The sequence below is a fragment of the Homo sapiens genome, chromosome 11 (genome assembly GCF_000001405.40).
Source record: "Homo sapiens chromosome 11, GRCh38.p14 Primary Assembly".
Classification (NCBI taxonomy): Eukaryota; Metazoa; Chordata; class Mammalia; order Primates; family Hominidae; genus Homo; species Homo sapiens.
The window spans coordinates 103,882,095-103,907,038 of record NC_000011.10 but is presented as its reverse complement, the minus strand read 5'-3'; the positions used below and the strand labels follow the sequence as shown (position 1 = coordinate 103,907,038).

General features: G+C 39.8%; 1 long non-coding RNA gene across 2 annotated transcripts in view, besides 4 other annotated features; it reads left to right on the top strand.

Moving 5' to 3' along the window:
• Positions 1–168: 168 nt before the first annotated feature.
• The window catches only part of PDGFDDN (PDGFD downstream neighbor), a 45,563-nt gene continuing 20,787 nt past the window's right edge, over positions 169–24,944 (top strand). The window contains exons 1-3 of one of the 2 annotated variants that reach the window (XR_947960.3): positions 169–2,359; positions 11,770–11,815; positions 13,086–13,164. This is a non-coding gene — a long non-coding RNA (PDGFD downstream neighbor). Of the gene's footprint in view, positions 2,360–6,626; positions 13,165–24,944 lie in introns of those variants that run through there. The other variant, XR_001748348.2, reaches the window with a different exon arrangement.
• Positions 2,309–2,478: an enhancer, noted in NCBI's record as "active region_5456". NCBI's record gives its function as "activates an Ori minimal core promoter by ATAC-STARR-seq in GM12878 lymphoblastoid cells {active_cell/tissue: GM12878}" and the evidence as "EXISTENCE:reporter gene assay evidence [ECO:0000049][PMID:35858748]".
• Positions 2,899–2,988: an enhancer, noted in NCBI's record as "active region_5455". NCBI's record gives its function as "activates an Ori minimal core promoter by ATAC-STARR-seq in GM12878 lymphoblastoid cells {active_cell/tissue: GM12878}" and the evidence as "EXISTENCE:reporter gene assay evidence [ECO:0000049][PMID:35858748]".
• Positions 8,504–8,763: an enhancer, noted in NCBI's record as "active region_5454". NCBI's record gives its function as "activates an Ori minimal core promoter by ATAC-STARR-seq in GM12878 lymphoblastoid cells {active_cell/tissue: GM12878}" and the evidence as "EXISTENCE:reporter gene assay evidence [ECO:0000049][PMID:35858748]".
• Positions 15,691–15,891: a silencer, noted in NCBI's record as "peak1441 fragment used in MPRA reporter construct". NCBI's record gives its function as "represses an SCP1 promoter by STARR-seq MPRAs in K562 erythroleukemia cells {active_cell/tissue: K562}" and the evidence as "EXISTENCE:reporter gene assay evidence [ECO:0000049][PMID:32103011]".

Sequence of the window (24,944 nt, the reverse complement as noted above, 5' to 3'; positions counted from 1 at the left end):
AGATCGAGACCATCCTGGTCAACATGGCGAAACCCTGTCTCTACTAAAAATACAAAAATGAGCCAGGTGTGGTGGTGGGCGCCTTTAGTCCCAGCTACTCAGGAGATTGAGGCAGGAGAATCACTTGAACCGGGAGGCAGAGGTTGCAGTAAGCCGAGATCACGCCACTGCACTCCAGCCTGGGCTGCAGAACAAGACTCCTTTCAAAAAAAAAAAAAAGGAAAACTTTTTTTCACAAATGCATCAAACTGTTTGGAATGACAAGATTGAGTGATTTCTGAAGGCTTCATTTTATAATGCCCGAAAGAACAACACTTTGTTCCCCAATTACAGGCTTCTGTTCTGTCTTTGTCCTGCAGCTGCACAGTGGGGCAAGACTTGGGTTTGGTTTTGTTGCTGCTTTGTTGCTTCTTCATTTGACTGTTTCCCCATGAGTCTTATAATGAATTATGTTCTCCTCTGACATTGTTCCTCACCTAAGAAAATCCACAGCTGTCTCTTCCTTGAGGCCTGAAGTCAACAACATTACAACCTCATTTCCCTTTTATCCACCTCCTTTTCCCATCTGGGTGGACACCCCAGCCAACTAGTGATTCAGTGTTATCAGTTCAGACAGACCAGTTTAGGAGCTACACTCCTATATCATTTGCTTTGTAATTTGTGAAGAGGCACATAGCATAAAGAGAGCTCTTCTAGCTGCAATGCACATGCAAGAATTTTTGCTTTTGATTATAGCCTAATCTTTATATCATCCTGCTGGAGACAAAATAGCAGCTGCAGTGTTGAATGAAACTCTGCCATTTTAGTGGTTTTAGGTCATTTGGGGAATGGGAGTAAAGACCTGTATTCTGTGGCAAGAATTAATTTTACCATCAGAAATACTAGCTAGTGTGTGAGCATGGGAGAGGGATGGGGACAGGGTCGAATAATTCTGTGCCTAATAGCTAATTCAAGTAACTGGGGTTTTTAGGTAAAAAGTCATAATAGTAATATATATATGTATATATATGTGAATATATGTGTATATATGTATGTATATATGTTGCATTTTAATACAAAGACATTAAGAATTTTATTTCATTTCCTGAAATGTTCACATGTCCAGTTTTATTCTGAGAATAACTCAACAGATGTCTAAATTGTTGATACTCTCCTAGGTTCCTCATAGAATATTAAATTAAAATTCAATAGATTAGTATTCATGCCTGAAGTCCTAGGAAATATAATTTTGTTTATTGGCAGCCCTAGTCAAACATGCTAGAAGACAGAATATTTATAATTCACTGGTTTTATTGACATTCACTCAAATTCTGTTGTTTTTAAAGATCAAGTTAAAGACTACACAGACCTTCAAAACTTAGCATAGCACAACTGGGATATCTCTCAAATAAAATAGGCATCAACAAGGGATAAGCAACTAACCACTTAATGTAAGACTTTATGCTTGCTTTTCCAGTTATATTTCTGAATTTTGCAAACTAATTTGTGTCCTTTTTTTGAATAAATTTCATTTCTATAGAGATGTCTAAAAATTATTTAGCAGACTACATTAAAAGAGAGTGGAGCTAACTTCTTAACATAGGTTAATATACTCAGTGCAACAAGCTGTGGACCAAGAAATCTTCATTTTCTAGCAAAATCATTTGACTTTGTGATTATTTTAAACTGTTTATACTTATTGCCAGGTTTAGTGACCAGAAACCAAATGTTAAAATCATTCTTGGATTCAATTTACATTTTAAATAATACCTACAATACAAGTTCCCTTTTAAGAACTAAGGTCTCTAACCTGTTTCTGGTTGAGGTCATAGTATAAATTTCTCCTCTTCAGGCCTTCTAGTGTCTTTCTAGACTTTCCTTTCTCCCTGTGTCTCCCACAGGCTTCCTTTCTCACCTGCCTCTACTTGTCAGTCTTCAAATCAGAGAAAATCAGGATCAATATCTGCTTTGGGAAAGACAGGAGATAGATCAGTCGAGGAGATCAACTGCATGGTTACCCAAGTGAGCAATTAATAGGGTAAAATTCCCAACTGCTTTAAGAAATCACTGCTTTTTGAGAGTCAAACACATCAGGTGCATATTTTTCAGTACTGTCCACTTTGGTGCAAACTTCAGGATATGGTGGTAGATATTTGTTGACTTCTGTCAATAGAAATTTAGCCACAGTCAATATGGGGAAAATTGACTAAATTACATGTTTCATTCATTCATTCAACAGCAAATACATTAAAGCCCGCTATGTATCAGACATGCTTTGAGGCTTGAAACACAAGATTCACAACAGAGGATAAAACTAGAGAAAGATATTCTAGGTAAGATCAACAGGAAGAACAAAGGTCTCCCAGCAAAAATGCATAAGGTAAGTGTGGGCAGTTCAGAAAATATAAAGTGATCGAAAGGAAAGAAAAGGAAACTGTAGGCAAATGAATTTAGTCTTTTACATTTAGTAAAGGAAGCTCCATGAGGACCTCTGAGCACAGTGGGGGCTGTATGTGTCATAGAGCACCAGACAGAAAGTTAGAAGGTCTTGGTTGTAGTGACTAGCCTGCCACTTTCTAAACCTATGTTTCCTCATTTACACACTCAGATATGTAAGATGTTCTGGAGGTGTCTTCCGGCAGAACAATTCTGCAATTCTGCATTTTCGAAAATGGGTCTACAGAAAGAGTAGGGATTGGGCTATGAGTTATGAGGCTCCTTGAAGTTCTAGGGGTGAGACAATAAGGATAAAGCGAGACTTCAGAGACAGGAAGGGAAGTTTGCCCCTGTGGTTGTTCAGGCTGTGCACTACAAATCTCTAGGGGTTGCTATTTGCATGAACTAAGATGACAAGACAGGTTAAGAGGTTTCAAAGTTCTTTGTGGTTGGATGGGCTGGAGGTGCAGGCTTGGAGATCTCCTGTAGGAAGAAGTCATGTGAGTTCAAGAGAATTCTTGTGGGAAAACCAGGGAGGCAGGAAGGAGGGGTGAATTTTGCAAGCATGTCTCCAAGAAGAGGAGCCAGGTCTTGTAACATTGAAAGGGAGTCATTCTCAGGGTCAAAGCTGAAACCATAAGAAGATACACAGAACCTGAAAGACCTCCATAACCATTAAGAGGGAAGAAGACTAGTTTCTAAAGCTCATAAAAATGTGTTCTGAAAAGGTATTAAGTACTGACTGAGGGCTAAAGGTCCAGCCCTGTGCTAAATACAGCAGATTCACAGGAAAATAAAACAAACGTATTTCCTGCCTTTATCAAGCTAGAGAAGACATTACATGAGGCTAGAGAAGACTAGACACTAAACAAATAATTACATATGTAACCCAATACATTTGTGAAAAGCAAAAGCATAATGTGTGATGACAGTAAAAGGTGGAATCCAGATCAGAGGACAAGGAAGGGTTCTGTGAGAAGATGACATTAGAGCAGGAACAGAAAGTTGAATAAATGTTAGAAGCAAAGTGAAAGGAGAGTGTGACATTAAATGGTAGCAATAAAAATGAAAAAAAATCTAGCTATATTAAAGAAATAGTTTGAATCTTTAATTTATCAGAGTTGGGGATATATTAGACTGAGGCAAAAGAAGATAGAAGATAGCAAGGATTTTTCCAAGGCTTCTGGCATAACAAACTGTGCAGATAGAGGTGCCATTTATTGAGATGGGGGACATGCAAAGAGAAGGAGATTTAGGATAGATTAAGAATTCAGTGTGAGGTATTAATTCCAAGTGACATTTGATATATCCAATTGGAGATATTAAGTAGGCAGTTAGGTCTGTGGGTCTGGAGCTAAGAAGAAGGGTCTGAGACAGATGTAAATTTAGAAGTCAGCAATATACAGTGGTATTACAAAACACAGGAACAGTCCAGATACTTAGGGGAGGGTGAAAACTGAAAGGGGAAGAATCACAGGGCAATTGTGAGAATATAAAAATGTTCTAAGTGCCAGAGGAAGAAATTGTTGCAAAGAGTCTGGGTCAGTTTTATCGACTATGGCAGAGAAGGTATGAGAAACACCTACAGATTTATCTGCTCAGAAATACTCCTTTCTTTTATTTTTATTTTTATTATACTTTAAGTTTTAGGGTACATGTGCACAACGTGCAGGTTTGTTACATACGTATACATGTGCCATGTTGGTGTGCTGCACCCATTAACTCATCATTAACATTAGGTATATCTCCTAATGCTATCCCTCCCCCCTTCCCCCACCCCACAACAGGCCCCAGTGTGTGATGTTCCCCTTCCTGTGTCCATGTGTTCTCACTGTTCAATTCCCACCTATGAGTGAGAACATGCGGTGTTTGATGTTTTGTCCTTGCGATAGTTTGCTGAGAATGATGGTTTCCAGCTTCATCCATGTCCCTACAAAGGACATGAACTCATCATTTTTTATGGCTGCATAGTATTCCATGGTGTATATGTGCCACATTTTCTTAATCCAGTCCATCATTGTTGGACATTCAGGTTGGTTCCAAGTCTTTGCTATTGTGAATAGTGCCGCAATAGACATACATGTGGATGTGTCTTTATAGCAGCATGATTTATAATCTTTTGGGTATATACCCAGTAATGGGATGGCTGGGTCAAATGGTAAGAAATACTCCTTTCTAACCCTAATCTCTTTTCTGAGAGATTCCTCTTCATCTATAGCAGTATTGTCCAATAGAACTTCTTGCGATGATGGAGATGTTCTATATCTGTTCTAAGAGAGCAGCTAATAGCCACACTTGGCTGCTGAGCACTGGAAGCATGACCAGTGTGGCTGAAGATTTTTAAATTTTATTTAATTTTACTTAATATTTAAATATAAATTGCCACATGTGACAAGTGGCTACTGTATTAGGCTATGCAGTTGTAGATTTAATTATCACCCAGAGTTGTAGCCAGAATACTACACACTTCACAGTACCACACACACGTTCTAGTCACAGCCAGGGGCACCTGACTCAAGCTTTCTCAGGATGTATGGGCCTGAGGAGAGATTCAGACAGTCTCCTTGGTTATTTGGATGGTAGGATGTGAAAATCAATGGCTATTGGCAGCCATACTCTCTGCCATGTAGACTAAATATCTAGAGAAAGTTAAACTATAAAGGAAAAGAAGGAAGAAAGACACAAACACACAGAAAGTCCTGAGGGAGTCCCTCCTTCTCATTAGTTCTGATGTCTGGCCAAACCCGTCTCTGGTTCTCTGAGAATGTCATATGGTGGAAATGTGAGTCAGATGATAAGATATTTGGAGGGAGGAATTGTGATTACATGAAAATGCTGAGTGAAAACCACTATCTCAAGGAGTTGATAGGTGAGTGAAAAGAGAACTGCAGTTAGCCCTTTATATCCACAGGTTCCACATCTATAGATTCAACCAACAGCAGATGAAAGATATTTGGAAACATGAAAAATATAATACAACTATAAAAATAATAAAAACTGGCCAAGTTCAGTGGCTCACACCTGTAATCCCAACAATTTGGGAGGCCAAGGCAGGCGGATCACTTGAGGTCAGAAGTTTGAGACCAGCCTGGCCAACATGGTGAAACCCTGTCTCTACTAAAAACACAAAAATTAGGCATGGTGGTGCACTCCTGTAGCCCCTGCTACTCAGGAGGGCGAGGCACGAGAATCTCTTGAACCAGGAAGCAGAGGCTGCAGTGAGCAAGATTGCTCCACTGCACTACAGCCTGGGTGACAGAGCAAGACTCCATCTCAAAAATAAATAAAATAATTAATTAATTTAATTAAATAATAATTAAAACAGCACAGTATAACAACTATTTACATGGTATTTATATTGTGCTAGGTGTTATAAGTAATCCAGAGATGATTTAAATCGTATGGGAGGATGTGCATAGGTTATAGTAAACACTGCGCCATTTTAGATAAGGGACTTGAGCATCCCCAGATTTTGGTATCCTCAGGGGTCCTGAAACGAATCCCCTGTGGATATCAAGGGACAACTGTACATTAAATTATTGTTGTCTGTGGCACTTGTGTTCTATGAAGTTGCCAGATTCACTGAATTAGCAAATACTGTTTTCACTGCTGCTCAGAGAAATCCTGGCTTAGGGTTGTGCAAGCCTCTGGTCACATTTTCATCAACTTTCAGACGGTCCACCAGTCTACTTGGTTATTGTGTGCTTCTGGTTAAGAATTCTTTATTTAATATATATTGTTGATTCATTAAAATTGAACTCATGGCCAACAGCATTATAACCCATGCCTGAACCAAGCTTACCTAACACATATTTTTTTCCATAAGGTACTTCACAGCCTTATTGCATTTAGGAACACCAAAGAGCACTTCAGAACTATGCTTGGGAGCCATTTTAAATGGCAAAATCTTCAACAAAAAGCACAAAAGTGTTAAAAACATGGCAGTAAATCAACTGTGAAAAGGACACTCGTTTACAGTATGAGAGCTGAAACAAGAAGGCAGTGTCACCTTGTCCTTCCTCAGCTGGGAACATGAGTAACTCAATTTTACTCATGCTGCTGATAAAGACATACCTGAGACTGGGCAATTTACAAAAGAAAGAGGTGTATTGGATTTACAATTCCACGTGGCTGGGGAGGCCTCACAATCATGGAGGAAGGCATGGAGGAGCAAGTCACATCTTATGTGGATGGCAGCAGGCAAAGAGAGTTTGTGCAGGGAAACTCCCGATTTTAAAACCATCATATCTCATGAGACCCATTAACTATCACTAGAACAGCACAGGAAGGACCTGCCCCATGAATCAGTCATCTCCCACCAGGTCCCTCCCTCAACACGTGGGAATTATGGGAGCTACAAGATGAGGTTTTGGTGGGGACACAGAGCCAAACCATATCAGCTCATGTCTTCAAATGACTACGAGAAACCACGCACATGGATTTGGGGGATACACATAAATTTTGAGTAGGTAAATATGCAAATACAGAAGGTGTGAATAATGGAAATGGACTGTAATAGTAGTGCCCATTTTACAATGTGCCAGGAATTTTTCTGAAGCTCACATATATTTAATTTTCATAATAACCCTCTAATACATGACTTTTATGAAAATGAAATACATTAATATATACTAAAGCTTTTTTTTTTTTTTTTTGAGACGGAGTCTCACTCTGTCGCCCAGGCTGGAGTTCAGTTGTGCGATCTTGGCTCACTGCAAGCTCCACCTTGCGGGTTCACGCCATTCTCCTGCCTCAGCCTCCCAAGTAGCTGGGACTACAGGTGCAGGCCACCATGCCCAGCTAATTTTTTGTATTTTTAGTAGAGATGGGGTTTCACCATGTTAGCCAGGAAGGTCTTGATCTCCTGACCTCGTGATCTGCCTGCCTCAGCCTCCCAAAGTGCTGGGATAGTAAAGCTTTTTATTAGAAACAATGTAATGATATTTATTGTGCTTCATAAGTATAAAAAAATGAAGACAGAGATTTCTCCAAAGTAAGTCAATAGGTAGTAAACTCCAGATAACTCCTCTGTAACCCACATCCTTAATCATATTATAATACCATCTGTGTAAGCCATTGCATAGGAGGCAGAACTAAAGAATTTGCTCTAAGAAGCCTTCTCATCTACAGGGCAGTTCCAAGCATGGACCCTGAGGTCATCATTGAACATTCTGGTCAAGCTTTATTCATTTAATTGACAGAAATTGGGCATCTACTACGTTGTAAGCATAATTCTAGGCACTAGGGACAAAGAACAAGATAATGAACAGCACGATGTTTTTGCCTTCATAAAATTTGCATCAAGATAGACACAGGAAATAAACACATATATAATTTCATATAATGATAAGGGCGGTAAGAGAAACAAAGCAAGTTAGAAGAGCAAAGGAAGTGTTACTGACCCTCCCAGGAGGTTATTGGATCCTAATGGGTTCTTTCCCTGCCCAGTGTCATTTGTGCCAATAGAACCAGACCAGGTTAAGTAAAGCAGAACAGAAACTTTACTCGTGATCAAAGAATGATGAAGGGGAGGGGAGCTCGTGCTCAAAGCACCATCTCCCTGGAAGTCAAGTAGAGGGAGATTTAAAGGGCTCCCAGGACAGGTAGGTGGAGACTGGGGCAGGGATTCCTGGAAAAACGTGGGCTCTTCCAGGAGGGAAAAGAGTGTGTGCAGTCATGTCTTTTTGTTTGCACCCAGCACCTTTTGTGCCTAACAAGGTACATTTCTCCCTGCTGGGTGGAGATTTTAGTATGGTAATGAAGCAAGAAATGAGTTCAGTGCACCTATGCAAGAGTTCAAGTCAAGGCAGCACTTCTGCACTTAGTTGGTCTTGTGGCTAACTCGCAGTTTCTGGCATTCTGCTTTCTTATCTGTAAGCAAGCACAGCTGCAAGCACAAGTTAGTTTCACAGGTTTTGGGGTCTCCTGAGAGCATCTAGACCATGCTATGGTAATAGGTGACAGAAGGCCTCTCTGAGGAGGCAACATTTTTGCTGAGACCTAAAGGAAGTGAGGAAACTATAGGCAGAAATATCTTGAAGAAGAGCACTCCAGGCAAAAGGAACAGCAAGTGCAAAGGCCCCGAATTCGAAACAAGCTTCGGATAGTGTGAGGAACAGCAAGACGGCTAGGGTGGAAGGGGCAAGGAACTCAGTGAAAGACAAAAAGTGAAAGAATTAGGCAGTGCCAGTTCATATGGGATCTTAGCAGTCATGGTAAGGAGTTTGGATTCTAAATGTGTCAGTAAGTCCTTAGAGAGTTTTGAGCAGGGAAAATAAGTCATATGACAAGTTGGTACAAGATCCCTGGTGTAGAGAATGGCCTGCAGGAGAGCAAGAGTAAAAGCTGAGACACCATTTATAGGCTCAGGAGGGAGAGCAGGGTTCATCTGAGAGTCAGCAGTGGAGGAAGTGAGAAGCAGGTAGTTTCAGAACATATTTGAAAAGCAAAGCTTTAAATGTGGAGTGTGAGGGAAAGAGAGGAATCAGGAACGTCTCCATGGATCTGGGCCAGACTCCTAGGTGATTGATTGTTGGAGTCTTTTGCTAATTGGGAAGACAGTGATAGGAAAAGAGTTGAGGAACAGGAGAATCCATAGTTTTCTTCAGACTTTCACTGTGTTTTACTAAATCCTAGGTTCTAGGGTTGGGTTTTTTCTTAAAGAAAAAAAAAAAGAGTTAATTTCTGGGTCTCCTGGGAAAGATTGCCCTTGACACATAGGAATAAATAACTTTGGGTATTAACTGAAACCCCCATTTAAACCTTATCTGAACACTAAATATAATCTTGTTCATTACATAAATAAAAACTGAAGGCTTATGTTACAATTTGCCTGTCCCTATATACACACATGTACAAACATGGCTAAATGAAGACACTTGACAGTTACAGAAAACCCTGACAAGGAACGGTAAACAAATTAGCTTTGCTGAGAAATACAGCTTGCACTCATCCAAAGCCTGCAATGAAAAAAAGTCCAGACGAAATCAGCAAGTATATTAGTTAAAAAAAAAAAAGAAGAAGAAACAAACAAAAAAAGGAAATATTTTGGTCAACTATTTACCCCAAAATGGATTCAAAAACAAACTAAAAATAATTCTCTAAATTCCAATACCTCAAGTTCACCACATTAGTTTCTACAAGAACCAAACTCATTTCCTGTTTTATCCATAGGAGGAAACATTTTTTTCTCCTGCAGACATTTTAGTGGAATATATGAGCCTTTGCACAAGACTGAGACTCATATGATTTTCCTCTCTGTTCTCGTAGAAATTAAAAACAGACTGAAAGCCACAGGGCCGTGACTATTATAGGTCTAAATCAGATCTTAAAATAGAGTAAAGGAAGTGAAGCAAGGCTTAATAATCAGCATAATGCAACATAATATTTAGTGTTTTAATAGGACATCTCTGTTCATTAATGCATTCAACAATTATTTTTGAGACCCCATTATGTTTCAGGCACTGTACAAGGTGCTCAGCACACACCAATGAATAAACCCATCTCACTTCTTGCCTGTGTAGTACTTATAGTGTAACACTGATAGTAATAAAACATTTATCTGAAACAACTTTCAGAGCCGCCAAGACCAGAACCTCTGCACTCCCCTTAGAACAGATTTCTCAAGCTCAGAGCTGTTGACATTTTGGACTGGAAAAGTCTTTGTTGTGGGGCTGTCCTGTGCATTACAGGATGTTTAGCAGCATCCTTGGCCTTCACTTACTAGATGCCAGTAGCACTCTTTCCCCCTCATTAGTGACAATCAAAAAATGTCTCCCTACATTGCCAAATATCCCCTGGGGAGAAAAATTCGTACCTATGTGAGAACCACTGACTTTAGAGGATGGTGAAAGCAATAAAATTCTGTCTTTTTCTGAGATCTCCTCATTCATTCCAGAAAGGTGCCTTTGCCAAATGAGAAGTTCTAGGTTAATGTGGAGGGACCAGCCAGTCCGAATAGGCTGAATTGGATTTAGAAGGCATCAGAATCAACTTTCAAAATATAAAGGCAATAACTGTTTCCGATGAGAAAAATACCAATTTTCAGGGTATTCATTTATTCAACGAAAATGTTACTAAATGCCTACTCCTCTATGTGCCAGGCACAATTATAGGTGCTGTGGATAGTGAACAAAACACAACAGAATTCCAGTCTTTGTGTAGCTTATAGTGACAGAAGGCATACAAGTAAGTAAAATGTCTATAGTATGTGAGAAGGAAATATTTTTAGGATATGGATAAATAAAAGCAGGGAAAGGGGATCAGTAGAGGAGGATAATTCAATTTTTGTAAGGTGGTCATCTAAAATAAAAGCCCCAAAAGACATAAGGTGAAAGTCATGCAAATATCTTTATTTAAAAAAAGAGAGAGTGTTCCAAGCAGAGGGAGCAGTAAGTGCAAAAGCCCTGAGGTAGAAGCTTGCTTGGTAAAGGGCTGGAATGATGTGAGCTAGATTGAATGGTAGGAGATAAAGTTAGGCAGTTAATGGGAGACATATTTTATTGAAACTTTTAGGCCATTGTAAGGACTTTGATTTTTCACCACAAAAGATTTCAAGGGGTGGTCAACAAATATTTTCAGTTGTCCTTCCATGCATATAGAGGATTATATTTTCCTGCACCCTTAAAGTTAGGTGTGACTATGTGTGAGAGACTGGGTTAGTGCTCCAATTCTTCCACCCTTTCTTTGCTTTCACACCCTTGCCTGGCCTCACTATAGACAGAATATAGTTCTCTGACTCTTGGTTGTAGTTTTGGCCATGGGGCTTGCTTTGGACAACAGGATATAAGTACACATGATGCATGCAAGGGTTTGAGATATGCTTGCCCAGTGGGGCTTTCTCTCTTGAATTTCTGCCACCACCCCCAAAAAAACATGTCTTGGCTAGCTTGTTGAATCTAGGAGAAAGATGAGAAACATGGTGAGCAGAGCTGCCCCAGAGGACATGCAGCTTCAAGCAGACCACCTAGTCTAGCCCAGTCTAAATCACTTGACCCCCAGCCAGCCTGGAGAGGCATGACAAACAAATGCTTATTGTTGCATGCACTGATATTTTGTGGTGGTTTGTTGCACAGCACGGTACCTCACTTTAGCCATTAAAATGAGAGTGGAAGTGAGATGTGTCAAGTCTGGGTGGGAGTAAAATCTTTAAGAGTCACTGCATATTGCCTAGTCCCCTTCTCCCTATTACAGAGAGGATGGAAGTACATGTCAAGGCAGAGCCTCTACTACCCTAGTTCGCTGAGTGACTGTGTTTAGCAGAGCCCTTCATTACCCACACTAAACATATTGCCTGAGAAAGAAAGAAAAAATCTGTGGTGTTAGCTAACGTTGTTTCTATTTTTGATACTGCAGCATAATGTTGTTTGACTGATACATGAAATCTCCATATGATTTTGAGGTAAGGAATGACATGATTTGTCTCATATGTAAACGACTTTGGCTATGTTGAGAATAGACTGAAGTGGGTAGGGGCAGAGGCTAGGAGACAAACTGGAAGGTGGTTATTGCAACAGTAATGCTGTCAAGAGATGATAGTGGCTGGGAACACTGTAGTAGCAGCAGGGAAGGTAACAAGTGACCAAATCCTAGACATATTTTTAAAAATAGAACTGCCAAATTTTGTTTACGGATAGGCAGGATGGGAGAGACAGGATGGAATCAAAGATGACTCTAAGGTTTTGGGGTTGAGAGAAGTTTGATAGAGTTGCCTTTAATTAAAATGGAGACTATTGTGGCAGGACAAGGTTTGGCTATAGGGGGAGATCTGGAGCTTAATTTTGGACGTGGTAAGTTAGAGGTGCCTATTAACCATGTGTGTAGAAAAGTCAAGTCAACAGTTGGATTTACCAGTCCAGGGTATGGAGATGTGATTTGAAAGTTTGTTGGTATATAAGAGATTGCATTTAAAGCCAAGCGATTGGAGGAAATCACAAAGGGAGTGAGAGTAGACAGAAAAGAGGCTCAAAGATTGAGCCCTGGGGCATCTTTCATTAAGAGGTCAGAGACCTTGAACCTAGGAGGCGGAGGCTGCAGTGAGCCGAGATGGCGCCACTGCACTCCAGCCCAGCGACAGAGCGAGACTCCGTCTCAAAAAAAAAAAAGAAGGTCGGAGAATAGCAAGAAACCAGCAGGAGCAGCCAGTGAGGTTGCAGAAAACTGATTTATGTGAGGTTGTGCTAAAGTGTCATGCATTTGCCTGGCCAGGTGCTTTCTTCAGCGTTTTCCACCTGGCTGTCTCCAAGAAGGCTGATCTTAATGAAACTGATTTCCATTCCGTCCATTGTCTGCTTGGGTTTGGCCAGTGGGAAGGAGCCCCAATAGAAGATTAGAAAGAAAGGAATGAGATTAAATCAGTGGCTCTTTAAAATCACCTGCAAGGGTTGTTAAAGTACTAAGCCCCACCCCCAGTTTCTGATTCTTATCTAATTATTGGATAAGACTTGTGGATTTGCATTTCTAACAAGGTCTCAGGTGATGTTGCTGGTCTGGAGGCAACATTTTGAGAACTATTAGGTTAGGGAATGTATTCACGATTCCTTCCCTGTACAATTGCCTCAGCCTGGTTGTGACCAGAAAGCCACTGCTCCTCCCCAGTTGTCCTGCAGTGTATGACTCTGTTTCCTCTGGAATTTCAGAGGAATTTTTTTCCTGCCCTCATCTTTTCAAAGGTGGTGAAAGTTCTATTCCTGATGGCCCCAAATTCCTGCCCTATCACCTGTTCTTCCTCTACGCCACACTTGCGCCTTGGTAAGTTGTCTCTTTGTAAATAGACTCTCCTTGAACTATCTTAATTTGACTGAGCTATCTGTGTCACTGATATAGAAGTCCTGAAAATAAATAGACATTTTTAAAAAGCACATTTGGCCATTTAGAAATAACTGTTGGATTCAGCATGGAGAGGTCATTAGTACAATACTGCAGACAAAAGCTGTTGGGGTTCATTTGAGAAGCAATAGTAGGATGTATATATATATCTGTAAATTATCCCTGTTCCCATAAAAATCCTAAGTAATGTGTCAAACAATGACTCTGAGACCCTGAGTCATCCATGGTACAATTTGCTAAACATTTAACCAGATACTAAAGACATCTACGTGGCGTCCTTCATCCTGTTCTTCTCCTAACATCAAATGAGTTAGAAAATCTTATAAATCAATGTATTGCAGTGGCTCACAAACTTTAGAATAAGAATCACCTGGAAGGCTTGTTAAATCAGTGTGTTTGGCTCCAGCCCTGGAGATCTGATTCAGTAGGTCTCCAATTTGCAGGTCTCACAAGTTCACAGGTGATGCTAATGTTACTGTTCATGGGATCACACTGAAAATCACTGATCTAAAAGAGGTATTTTCCTATCTTACCTTTCCTTTCTATCACTAGCCAGTACAGAGCCTCATAACATTTACCCAAATTGCCACCACATTCTTCCAATTCATCTCCCTGCTTTTAGCTTTTCCCCTCTCCCTTCCTAATCAGCCCCCTACAAGCCTGCCTAAGAGACCTTTCTGAGATACACAATGTATTATATTATTTCCTTGCTTACAAGACAAGGATCCTTGTCCATGGTCTTTAGCATAACCTTCCACTCTCACCTTTCACTATTTCCCATTCTTACCATACTCCATGCATGCTGAATTATTCATAGGTCCCTGAATACAATTATGCCTCACACATGGCATTTTCCTATCTCTGGAAGGTCCTTCATTCCTGCGGGTCTCACCCTCCCTTAGTTTTCGGGCCGTGTGGACGCCTCTCCTCTGGGATGCCCTTGCATAAACTGCAGGTCACATAGCCCAGACTCTGTGGCCCACTCATTGCAATGGTGAGTCATCCTTCCTGACTCCTGGGTGGCCAAGTCTCTTGGGTCTGTGTCTCTAGTGTTCAGTACTGATTCACAGGACAGCAAGCCCTCAACCACTATTTGTTGAATAATGAATAAAGGGTTCTGTATTATGTCATAAAATCGGGCATTGTAGTAAGAATTTCAATAAAGTTTGAAACACAAACCATTTTCTAGTTAACCCGCAATTAACTGGAAAATTCAATGAACCATAACAATATATTGGTCTCTGATTAATTAATATTTCAGTGAGCTAGTAATGACATAGGAGTCGTAAAAATTAAAGAGGGGTGGATAAACCCAGCTCATATCCTTAGACTTTGGAAATTCTCAGTAATGTGCTGTCAAATATTAATATAGATATATTGCCTTCAGGATTCAATTTGACTAAATCCATAAATTTTGTGACACAATTCCTGCCTTTTTTTTTCCTTTTCATGTTGCAAGGACTTTTATTGGGAGAATTAAATAAAAACAAACTGTTAACTAACCATACTTTATGAAGTTTATAAACTCATCAAAAAATTCCTGACTCTACCTAAGTATATGTAATTAACCACATCTCAATAAATGACAACCCCATTGCAATATTTAACAACTTTCAGAAGTTAAGTTCTCACTAGTTGTTTTGTGGTGGAACTGGTCTTGGAAGTGAAGGACACTGAATGTTTTCCTCTTATTGAACAAAATCACCTACAATGAAGGCATGAATCAACTAGTCTAATGTTAGACAAGAAGTAAAACCCAGAGTGGGCCCAGAGGCACAGGGGGTGCATGTTCTGGTCCTGTGTGCAGTTCCCTTCCTCAGTACATACCCTCGACATGTGGCTATTGTACATCTTTGTTCTCCAGACGTGTCTTAAAATTCATAAGGTGAATCCATTGCCTAAACATGTACCTTGATTGTAATTTTATGTCAGAACTGGGAGGCACAAAAGTCAGAGAGCTTCTGAAAAATCCTGTGCCAGGGACTTCATGAAGCAATAGATCTGAAAGTCAGAAAATGGAACTCTCAAGACATAAGAATAAGATGAGTAGGAGAAATCAAGCCTCAGGAATCCAGTGGCTTATGTGCTAGAGTTCATCATCTGGTTTTCTTTTAAACGTATCCATATCCCTTTGCATGTGTGTGTGTGTGTGTGTGTGTGTCTGCATGTGTGTGTGATCTCTGGCTTCACAGGCCAACAGTGGGTCTCATCCTCTACTTGGAAAAGTTAGTAAGGTAAAGGTTCGAAGTCATCTTTAAAAAATGGAAGAACAACATTGAATGCTGAAGTTGTTTATTTGTCCAACAAAACGTGGTGTCAAACATCTTATGAGAACTACTAGGTTTAAGGAGTTTCAAAATTATTTTGAGTCCTTTAATCATTTTTCCTACCTGCTATGTGATTCATCACCATTTCAAAGAAGCTCCCTCTTCAAAACTCATCTTGTATGAACAGTTGCAATTTTTCTGTGAGATAGCACTCACCATTTCAAGGAAAAGAAGCAAGTCACCTTTTGCTAAAGCACAAAGCAAGGTTATCTCTCCAGATAGAATATATTCTTAGGAATATTGTGTCTCTGTATTACTGATGAAATGCAGATGTGTTAAGCTGTCAGTATTTTCATAGTCAACCAATCTTTCTTTAATGAAGATAGCTTAAAATGCTTATGAAAGAGTAAAAATTCAATCGTTGACATTATATATTTATTTGGAATAATTCCACAAATGACCAGGACCAAGCATTTAATTTGTAGCAAGGCTAATGGTTGTGTTAAAGTTTGTCTGAGAAGAGACAATGGCTAGAGACCAAGGGTGTGGGGGAGTTGGCAACTTATCAAGGTTGTATTGTCAGGGGTCTAGTTGTCATGTCTGGAAACTATTGTTGGTAAAAAGTGTGTTTGTATTACTTCTGTTAAAAATGGGCTTACGAGAAACAAAAATTGATGATTAAGTAAAATGTAGCTTCATTGAATGTAAATTATGTTATGTAAGGTAGGTATTGTCAATATAATTTAATAACATGTATGTTTTTGGTCAGTTGAAATCTTGGGTGTATATATTGGATGGTAATATTGAGGACAGTATGGAAGGGAGAATAGTAGGAGCTCTGAGGAAAGGGAATGAAACAGGGAACTGAGTGAGGAGTATGGTTCCCAGGTAGAAGAGGCCAGTCCGGGAAAACTGCCCTGTGATGACTGTTTGTGTTCCTCCAAATTTCACATGTTAAAGTTCTAATCCCCAGTGTGATCATATTTGAAAGTGGGCCCTTTGAGAGGTGATTAGGTCATGATTATGGAGCCCTCATGAATGGGATACATGCCCTTATGTCTTAGTCATTTTGATTTGCTATAATAATAGTACCATAGACTGGGTGACTTAAAAGAAATTTATTTCTCACAATTCTAGTTCTGGAAGCTGGAAAGTCCAAGATTAAGGTACCAATTTAGTTCCTGGTAGGAGGCTTCTTTCTGATTTACAGATAAATGCCTTCTTGCTGTTTCCTCACATGGCAAAAATAGAGATTATCTCTTCCTTGTCTCTCCTTATAAGGGCACTAATCCCATTTATGAGAGCCCCACCCTCGTGACCTAATTACCTCCAAAAGGCCCCACCTCCTAATACCATCACATTGAGTATTGGGCTTCAACATATGAATTTGGGGGAGACACAGTCATTCAGTCCATGACACCTTATAAGAGACATGAGAAAGATGATCTCTCCCCCTCTGCCATGTGAGGACACAGCAAAGAAGCATCCTTCTACCAACTAGGACAAGAGCCCTCACTAGACACCAAATCAACTAGCACATTCATCATGGACTTCCCAGTCTCCAGAACCATGAGAAATAAATGTTTCCTGTTTAAGTCACCCAATTGATGGTATTCTGTTATAGTAGCCAAAACTGACTAAGACATGCCCCAAGTCAGGCTTTGGACAGCAACACTTCTGTTTATGTGGCCAAATAGGAATCCAGGGCTCTCATAGACTGAAAGAAATCATCTTACTTTCTATAGACTGAAGATGGTAAAATGTGTGAGAAGAATACTACAGACTAAACAAAACAAAAACTTATTTTGGAGGGGTTGGGATGGAAGAAAGGATGTAGGAGAGCCTCAATGCTGCCTTTAAACTGAGCAGGGCTAACAAGTACTATATGACACCTGTCATTTACCAGATTTCCCTCTGATGACTTTTCCAACCTGCCCACAAATCTTAGTCAGAGTAAATAGATGTTGGTAAAAACAGTGAACACAACTAGAAATGTGGAAAAGGAAAAACACATTCCTATCCCTGCTGGCCCCATCCCAGGGAACTAGAGGCATGCAGTTTTTAAGAAACAAGGAAAATTTATCCCATTTCCCCAACAGTATAGATTGACAGCCCCAAGATCTCCACAATAGTGCTTTTTCGTTTAAGGCACCTGAAAGAAGACATTGCAGTACATACCTCTGTGAACAGGAGCCAAAAGCATTCAAGACTAGTAATTCTCACCATGGTTCCAAGCAATAAAAGCTAACATGTATTGAGTATGTGCTAGGAGCTAAGTACTTCATATCATCAATTCATTTAACCTTAATACAAACCTTATTATTTTACTGTGCCCATTTTAAAGATGAGGAAAATAGGAAACAAAAATTTTAAGTCACAAAACTAAAAAAACTCAAAGCTAGAAACCCAGGATGTCTGGTTTCAGGGTGTACTCCTCTAACTACTGTGCTAGACTATGGCGTAGGTCTTTGAGAAGAGGTCATTCCTCTGGTATCTGTTGCTTGCTTGGGGAATATGTAGAATTAGATTTAATACAGTAGAATGCAGACCAAAACTGAGAGTCATGAATGATGTTCATGCAGCCACAGTTTGTGCTCTTGTTCTGATGTGTAGTCTGGCTCACACACAATACTCCATTTCATGTCTTCCAATGTCCAGCTGAATGTCACTAACTCACAAAGTCTTCTTTGTCCTCTCTGCCCTCACCTTCTGGATTGATCTTTCATTTGTGCTGTCATAGCATTCTCTAAAAACCTTTACTTCCTACAGCATTCATGACATGGCATCCTTAGTATCCATTCACTTATGTGACTCACTGTGCTCTGTTCCTTCTAAGGTAGAGATCTTATCTTTCTTATCTTTGAATTCCTGATGCCTAATACAGTGTGTGACAAATAATAGGTTCCTAAGCAACTGCATTAATTAAGCAATCAATTAAATGCCCTAAAAATCCTTGTCTGTCTTGGCACTTGAGTCACTAGGATTGTATTTCACTAACTGGACACTTTATCTAGATGTCCATAAGAAGAATAAACGCAGGGGAATTTTTTCTTTCCTACCTGGAAGTTGGAGGACAAAAAGGCACAACTTATTTCAACTATGATAATGTGATTCACCACTGATCGTGACTGCTTGTAACTAATGTCTTTATTTGCTGCTGGAGTATAAGCTCTCTGAAGGTAGAAGTCTCAATTTTTTCTTGGTCAATGCTGTGTCTCAAGGCCTGAGGCAGTGACTGGCACACCTTGTGTGGAGTGCAGAATAACTCTTAACTAAGAGTCAGAGACCTAGGTTTACATCTTGACCCTGCTTCCAACTTTCCACAAAACCTTGAGAAAACCTTACTCATTCTGGCCTCAGTTTTCTTCCCTTCAAAGTAACAGTCAAGATCAAGAAAATTGTACTTTTCATTTTTTTTGAAGATGTAGACATTGCATGGCTCTAAAGCTATACATTCATGAAGCAGGTGGTTGTGGTGGAATGGTCAAAAATACTCCCTGGTCACTGAGCAATGACCATTGTCAGTGAGATGTAGCCCCTGCTGATTGTACTGTCACTCCAGCTGTCTTTGGAGGTAAATATTAACAGTATACTCATTGGAGAGCAGAGCTGGTGGCAGTAACTGGCTTAGGATTACACAGATGATGGTGACCCATTGACAGGGGAACACTTTAAATTAGATTATCTGTAGAGACCTTTCCAGTTCTCAATATCTCTGAATCTATAATGTATGCAACTGAAATGAGAGATAAAAACAGATTGGAGGTAACTAGAATCCAACCACTGAAATGTTACTTCAAATGGTGATGAGTGAATATGATGCTATTTCTACTTGTTCCAAACTCTCATTTTTCATTTGAAGTCACTCTAAGCTTGGGACAAAGGGAAAAATCCCTACTTCTCTTGTTTGTCTATCATAGATACAATTTACACAAAACTCGAAAAGTACAGGGACACCTGAGCCTTTTCTTTTATTCTGCCTAAAACTTCAAGCTCAGAAAGGCTGAGGCTGGAAAAGCATTCTGGGATTGATATGCAAATGAGAACACCAGGCTTCACACTTGGCAGCTTCATATTCCTGTGAAGTGGAATTTTTTTGCTTTGAAAGCAGTGTTGAAAGATTGCAAGAGGTGTATGTGTGATGTCAACTATTTGTATTCCACTCATGTTTTCTGAAAAGACTCAGGTCTTGAAGACCCGTAACGTGTAGAATAACCATAGCCAAAATTTTCATCAGCTTCATTTCCAGCTGCTCAGCGGTGCAGCTGATATGCAACCTCTGAATGCAGCAGCAGTCATTGAGTTCCTTCCACAGAGCGCTGGAGATAAAACAGCTGCAATGCTCTCCCACTTCTCACACTCCCAGGAGAGGGGAAAGCCATAGAGAAGTGACAAACCAGTCACGAGCTAGTGAACACTAACACACAGCTGCAAATTCTGCAGCCTAAGCAGCATCTGGTGCTATCTTTCATAAGGAGATTGTTGTTTTCATAAACTGAATACTGTTCTCTGAGCATCATGGATAGAAATGTAGGTAAGAAATTTTCGGATAGTGCTTTATTTAGGGCATATTTCCTTAAGTCCCCATACTTTGTAAATATAGTACAAAACCTAAAATATACAACTGCTTTGGAAAAAAGGCAGGTTCAAGTGATAATAGAGAAATATAACTGTAGCCAGGGTCATTATAAAATTTTAATTTGTGTATTAACTGTAGGAAGCTTTGAGATGCCTATTTGTGTTCCAGGCAGCCAATGTGTACATATTTCTTGCAACCTGTGGGGAGCAGGTGAAAAGGAATGTGGTACTTTGCTGCATCTGACCACAGATGCTAAAGAGGTGAAGGACTCTCTACTACCATACCAGGGCACAGCATCCTGGTGATGAGGGGCCAGTCTAGAGTGTTATAACATGTGGCATAATGTAGGCTTGATTTTCTAAAGAAATTATGGAGGCTTAGGAGAATTTCATTATTTTAAAGCTGTATGGTACTGCAGCTCTCCCTGAGAACTCCTTGGAGACACTGCTTTTGAGAGCATAAGACTGCAGTCTAATTGCAAATGGGTCTATTTGTTGAGGAGAGACCTTCTAGGACCAGATGGTAAATGTGAATATTGGGAACTATTTTGAAATGTAAGTGAGCCCTGGGGCTGTGATGGAACAGCCAGTAGGAGAGGGTAGCAAGAGCCATTCAAGGAGACAAGTTTAAGATATTAGTGGGTATCCAAGGTGATAAAGAACACTTCCAGAACATCCAGACCCCATCTGCCTAAGGGATTTCCAGAGAGAGCTCCACGCCAAGAGGATCCCATTCTTAAAGGGAAGATGCATACCCACTCTTCTTGATCAGGAGCACTCTGGAGGAGGGGAGCAGTTCTGCTACCAGAAAAAGGAAGATAGTGACCAGGAGGGCTGGAGATCCAAGAACTTTAGGAAGTGGTAAGGGATGTGAATAACAGCCCCATGAAATTCATCGAGGGGGAGGGGTTGAAGAAGTTGATGAATATCAGAAAGATTTGGAGGTAGACTAATGAGTCCTTTTTATGTTGTTGAAGTAGATATTTTAAAACAGATGAGACTTTAGAAGGTGTTTCAATAATTGTTGATGAATCCTATGCTTGCTCTCATCTAATCATACACACACAAACATTATTTGACAATGACAAGCACGAGGTCTGGACATAGTCATTTGCTTCCCCCAACCAGTGTAAACTGCTACCCAAAGTAATTTATTCCTATGAACAAAGCCCGAACAAGGTTTAACACAGACCTGCACTGGGAAAACCTTACTCGTGACCAGGAGTATGCATCAGTCAATGAATTAAAGTATCGTGGTCTCTTACTATTTGCCAAATACAGAAGTTAATATGTCGAGTACACAGAACTGCTCTTGAAGCCTTTATAATTTTGTTGGTATAGATCAGTGACTCTCAACACTGGTTCTACATGAGAATCACCTAAGTCATTTTGAAAAACACAGTATTTGTCCCAGAAATTCTGATTGAATTAGTTCAGTGAAGGGCCTATATATCTGTATTTGTGAAGTTCCTCAGGAAATTCTGGCATGCAGCTCTGTTTGAAAACCATTGACATAGTTCATCTCCTAATTAGTCTCTCACTCTACAATTTCCTCCGTACTCTGCCATCAGAGGATTTTTCTCTTCAAATCACACCAAAGTTCCGTGTTTAAAATCTTTAATAGCTTCCTACCACATGGCAAAATAAATTTAAATTCTAACCTGGCATTCAAGGACCTTAGAAATGTACTCCCAATCTAGCTTTTCAGTTTTGTATTTTATCATATTCCATGAAGCTATAGAATTCAACTTAATAAATCAGTTCTTGCAAACAGCATGAGCTTCTTGATGCCTCAGCAATTGTTCCACACTCTTCTTCTGAAGTGCCCTTCTTCTACTTCAGTCGTTGGCAAAGCACAATCATCTTCCAAGTCTCCGCTGTAACATCAATTTCCCCAACCTTTCAGCAATGTAATGACTGCATTGTCTCTGCTCCCTTAATGCCATGTATATACCAAAATCAATCTTGTATTGGATCATATGACAGAAGCGATGCTAAATGGTCAGCACATTCTGTTTTATCATTTTTTTTTTCTGGACACACAAGAAGAGTATAGTTTCTACCTTCCTTTATTGCTATGTTAGGGTTGTGTACTGTCTTCTGTCCAATAGAGTGTAAATGGAAGGGATGAAAGCTATCCCCAAACATAGCCCTTGAGAATATCCCTGTGTATCTCCTATTCTTTCTTCCCTTACTGTGAAATCCTGAGATCAGTTATAAATTCCTTATGTTTAGGGACTGTGCCTTAGTCATCTTTGCATTTTTAGGAACCAGTAAACTGTCTAATTCATATAGCAGATGCTCAATGAACATTTATTAATTGATGCCAATATCTAGTAAAAGAAAAATAACTGCAATTAGGAGTTTATAAACAAAGCTGAAAGCTGATTACTGCTGGCAAGGCAGGACACAGGCCAATAAACAGAGAATGCAATAGACCAAAAAACAGAAAACTGTATCAAAAAGGTCAGTGTATCCTTTGGGAATATAGCTGGCATACTGAAGAGGTCAACATGGCATTTGTCTTCAGAGCAAGCTAACAGGCTATGGAATAGTTTTATAATAATGGTCATGATTGACAATATAATTCCTTGCATATGCTTAGTGTAATATACTGTATGTTTTCAAAATATGTTACCTATTATCTAATTTGATCTAGAAAACAATACAGATAGTTGGAGCAGGTATTATGATATCTATTTCAGGTAATGAAATTGAAGTACAATGAGATTAAGTACTTGCTAGAGGTCACATCTTAAGTAGTGGCTAAGTTAGACCTTAGTTTTCCTAATGAGAAACCCAAAGCCCTTCCCCCTGGGCAGTAGGCTGTCTGCTTCTATACACTACCTTATGACTTGGACCTGTCATCTCTCTGTCATCCATGTGCTACATGGCGTTTTCAGTCATCAACAGTAAAAGCTTAGAAAGATATTCACCAGCAGCTGCTTCAGTTTTACTGATTAAATTCCTAAGCCTCTTACTGTTTTTGCAATGGCCCTCACCTCTGAGGTTAGTGGAAATGGCCAGGTTGACAGAGAACTAGGGAATCCAGACTGAAAAAGAACTCTGAACAGCAGGCATAGTGCAAGACAATAAATAGTTGTAGCTTCAAGGACTTACTGGCATAGGACAATAAGAAACAAAGGATTTTATTTATATGAGAGTTTTTGTAAGCCTATAAAACAAAGAGGCTAAGTTGAAAATTCCATGAGGCTAGATTTACCATGTAGAAGACTGGCCTGGTCAGCATCTCCAGCAGCCAATGGGAGAAGGTGAGATCATGTTAAGGATGAATGAGACAAGGTTACGGGTTCACTACCTTCATCTCACATATGATCTTAGAGACAGGGCCCACTTCATGAGGATGAAGAATTCTGGTCAACCCAGGAACCTAACGGAGGAGCAGCTCAAGCCTATCCTTTGACTAGGGCAGTATATTTCATTTGAAGAGACTGCCCAACATTAGCAAAATCAGCAGAGTTGTCTTCAGCTAGGGTGCTGCAACATGCATATTTGCATTCCAAGTGATTATTTTTGTTCTTTCCTCTCTGGGGCTGCCTGTACTTTGGTTTAGTACCTAATACATTAAACATTGAAAAATATTACAATAGTGAGGCTGCCTGCCTGTAAAAACTGCCTGGTCTTCAAATTCTTCTACAATTTATTAGGTAAAGCAGCATTGTAATAATAACATTAGTTATTATGTACTACAATATTACTATGTATTACAATATTACTATGTACCAACTAAATTGTATTTAATATCTACCACTTGCAAGTTGGATATTATCTCCATATGATATATGAAAGAGCATAAGCATCCAAAAAGGAGCTAAGTTCACCCAGTAGGAAAGGGAATGTTTCAAAGCCCCTATTCTTTCAAGAGAAGAAAACAACATAGAAAGATAGGAAGAGAGCAAAGATGGGAGATTTTGTGCAATTCTAAGCACCTGATGCGACAGACTTCATTTACATTATACCAGATCCTCCCCAGATGCTTCTTGAGTCTCCAGCTTCTTTTTGAGCCTTTTTCTCTTCTGCCTTGAGCTCTAACTGAGGGACCCTCCAGTCTCTGATCTTATCCTTCTCAAGATTCATGGAATAGGAGCAGAAGTTCAGGGCCTGGGTCCCATGTCTTTGTCCCATAGAGCTGAGGCTAGGTCTTGTGCTATTCAAGGCTTAGGGATTTTATCTGTCCAATTCACCTACACCACAGGTTGGAAAGGCCGTTGTGGGCTGGCCCGAGACTTGAATACCATGGTTTACATCGTTTCTATGGGGAAATAGTTCCAAATTCCAAAGAAGGGACTTACAGGTAAATTTTTGGGAAATCCCCATTTATAAATTCAAGACAACTTATATAGATATGACAAGACTATACATTTCTTTCTACCTTAATGAAAATTTAAGGGGATGATCACTACATGAATTAGGAAATTGAAAAGATTTCAGAGTTAGGAAATTGAAAGATTTCATGGGCTTTCATTGCTCATGTGAGGGTAATGTGCTTTCTCTAAGACCTACAAAATAGTGAAATTATTAAAGAGTTTTATTACAGGCAACATTTCCATAAACTACTGTCTCCTTAACTAGCACTTTTTTATGGAGGCTAATTGGGGGAGCCTTCAGTTCTTTTTTCTAGCTGTAAATGAAGAAAATTTGTGCAAATATTCCTATCACGCCAGACCACACAGGAAATACTCCTGTGGGCTTGGCCCTGAGTGCTCTGCCATGCTGTACAAGCGGTGGCAATGGGAGGTCCCTGATGCACTCAAGTGCCTGATGGAGCAAAGGTGGAGAAATGGGGAAAAGAGGGAGACACCTGTGAGGGTCTGATTTCTGAACTGCAAGGGCGAC